Source organism: Homo sapiens, chromosome 12 (assembly GCF_000001405.40).
Source record: "Homo sapiens chromosome 12, GRCh38.p14 Primary Assembly".
In the NCBI taxonomy this organism is placed as follows: Eukaryota; Metazoa; Chordata; class Mammalia; order Primates; family Hominidae; genus Homo; species Homo sapiens.
The window spans coordinates 113,702,712-113,705,861 of NC_000012.12; the positions used below are offsets into that span (position 1 = coordinate 113,702,712).

The window sequence follows — 3,150 nt, forward strand, 5'->3', positions numbered from 1 at the left end:
GCATTGAGCATGGAGCCTGGCGCAGGGTAGGCGCTGTGACAGCAGCTGTCTTCATCTTTGCTGCTATTGTTTCTGCTGCTGGATCCTTGCTACCCTTGACCCAGAAGGTCCCACCTGCATGACCATCTTATCTGCGAGGGGAGGTGGCTTCATTCACCCTTCTCTAACCCTCTGAATTATAATCCATCTTTAATGCCTCTAGAGGAAGGAGCTTTGAACAGAAACCTGCTCCAACCACTCACTGCGGTCCACCCAGCGAATGCTTGCCTTTCAAAGGCATGACGGGGCCGCCAAATCCGCCCCAGGGACCTAACGCGATTGTCTTGCTTCTGTAACTCTGCTGGGAAGCTGAGCTTGGGGTTTCTGGCTGGGCTTCCAGGGGCTCCCAGAGCTGGTGCGGAACCGCAAGGGAGGCTTATGGGAAACCATCAGGCCAAGGAACCTAGCCTGGGAGGGACAGAGCCAGGGTGGAGGAGCCCATGTCAAACTGAGCACCCACGATGTGCTAGGCAAGAGTCCCTCTTCTGCTTGGCCCATGAAAAGCACTTTCCCCAGTGCTTATGGGGGTCAGGCAGACATAGTCACCTGTGATGACAAGAACATGGTGCAGGGAGTCCCAATATCCAAGTTAAAGCCTCCACTAAGTGCCCTTAGGACTAACACAATCTGTGTCTTAGCTTTTCACATCTATAAAATGTGTGTCTCTTTTATGAGGCAGTATAGTTTGGTGTTTAAGAGCTGAAGCTCTGGATCCATTGAAGGTCCTTGTGACCTTGGGCCAGTTGCTTACCCTCTCTGTGCCTCAGGCTCTGAGACTATAAAACATGGAGAGTAATACTATTTGATTCTGTTGCCTACTAGCTGGATGACCTCAAGCAAGTTGCTCCACCTCTCTCAACCTCAGTGTCCTCCTTCTGAATTGGGATCAATGAGAATTCTTACTTCACAGGGCTGTTGTGAGTATTGAATGGGATGATCCAAGCTGAGTGCTCCAAACCACATTTGGCATGGAATAATCATGTTAGTGTTGATTGAACACCTGCTATTTTCATCCCCTTCATTCTTCCTTTTCTCCCTCTTTTCTTGTTTCTCTCCCTCCTGCCTCTTTCCCTCACTCCACAATGGCATACTGTACACCTCCCATGAGCCAGGCACTTTTCTAGGCACTGCCCATCTTCAGGATGACTTTAAGAACCAAATGTGCTTAATGGGGAAGTGCTTTGGCAATATCAAGGATAATCTGTCGTGGAAGAGAAGAGGTGATAAATTCACACTGTGGCTTGTGGTGACTTCTTTTTATGCTCACTCTCATCTAGGGTCATTAATTTAGAGCCTTGACTAGGATTTCTATCCTATGCAGCTGCAGTGACATTAATTTGATATTCGCTAACCTCAGTTACTTGTGTGTCACCGTCATAATGATTATTTGCCACAGCCACATAAAACTATACTTCAATATTTTGTTTTAAGTCACTCTTTTTAAGAAATTTAAACTGAATTTTTTTTTTTTTTTTTTGAGATGGAGTTTTGCTCTTGTTGCCCAGGCTGGAGTACAATGGCCTGATCTGGGCTCACTGCAGCCTCCACCTCCCTGGTTCAAGCGATTCTCCTGTCTCAGCCTCCCGAGTAGCTGGGATTATAGGCGCCCGCCACCATGCCTGGCTAATTTTTTGTATTTTTAGTAGAGACGGGGTTTCACCATGTTGGCCAGGCTGGTCTCAAACTCCTGACCTCAGGTGATCCACCCGCTTCAGCCTCCCAAAGTGGTGGGATTATAAGTGTGAGCCACCACGCCCGGCCTAAACTGAATTTTAACCTAAACAATGCTATCCATGAAACCAAAAGTCTTGGTGAGCTGGCACACATTAAGCACTTAACTATTAAAGAAAATTTTAAAAGTTCATAGATGACCCCAAAGCATCTCCATTTGTATCATATTATATTAGAGAGCAGCTATACCAGACAATATCCTCCATTTGGCTAACTAGAAAATCGTTTGACTCATTGCTTCAAATTTTTCATATTTATCAAGTACTATCTCCTTTTTCCAAGCCTAGGGGTTTCTGTCATCTGCAATTATCATGATGTTAATCTGAAAGTCATTAACCTTGGTTACTTAGGTATTGCCAGCATAACAAACATTTGTATTCTTTTTGCCATAGCCACATGCCAAACATGAATGTGCTTGTGCTTGTCCTTTTATTTTTGGATCATGGTTTTTTCTTTTTCTTTTTTTTCTTTTTAAATTTAGCCTCAACTGAAGCAATTGTATCTATGAAATCAGAGGTTCAAGGAGCTGGTTATATATTTCTAGCATGCATTAAATATGTAGCTATTATGTAAAATAAAATGTCAACCAAACACATCTCCATGTGTGCCCCATTCTTAAGGTGGGCTGCTGTTCCAAGCATAACCCTGTTACCATTCAGCTGGTTAGGAAATTCTTTGATTCATTGCTTCATATTCACCAAGCGTTACTCCTTTTGTCCAAGTCTTGAGATCCCATGAAAGCATAGACAGGTCAAAGCCATCGTCCTAGGTGACAGAGTGAATCCCAGAACCCAGGAGTCCTGGTCCCTGATTCTGCCTCGAGGCCACACAGGATGCCCAGCCCCATCCTGACCTATCTCCTGGCTCATTAAAGGCCTTGGGGCTTGGACCAGGTCTTTCATTTTTCCATCCTTCTCTCTTTCCTCTCTAGCACTCGAAGATACAAAAAGGGTTAACATCCATCTCCCACTCTTCTTGACACCTCCCACCCTGGGTTGCTGTGGGTAATCGCCAGCTTCCCTTGAGGAATGACCTTGCCCCCCACCGTGGGGGCTATCAAGAGACAGATATAAACACCTCAAAGTTCCCAGCTAGCTCTCTTAATTGGCACCTTTCTGTTCTGCTTTAAATTAATCAAAGCCAGTCCGATATTAATACTGTAGGGGGAATTAAAATCATGCAACGCATTAAAGATGTAATTTAAAATTAATAACTCATAATTATTTATCATGGCGTATCAGTGGAGCTATGAATTTTCCCTTCTAACTCAGCGCACAGTCTCCTGCCTTTGCTTTTAATAGCATTTGGACCATTACTGTGCCCAACCTTGGTTCCCGCAGACACCCAACCTAAGAGACGTAATTCACTTAATTTAATTTT

The 3,150-nt window shown here is 44.5% G+C and overlaps 1 annotated feature.

The window, feature by feature from the left end:
* Positions 311 to 810: an enhancer, noted in NCBI's record as "H3K4me1 hESC enhancer chr12:114140827-114141326 (GRCh37/hg19 assembly coordinates)". NCBI's record gives its function as "activates a minimal SCP1, AML or CMV promoter by ChIP-STARR-seq in naive H9 embryonic stem cells {active_cell/tissue: H9 hESC(naive)}" and the evidence as "EXISTENCE:reporter gene assay evidence [ECO:0000049][PMID:30033119]".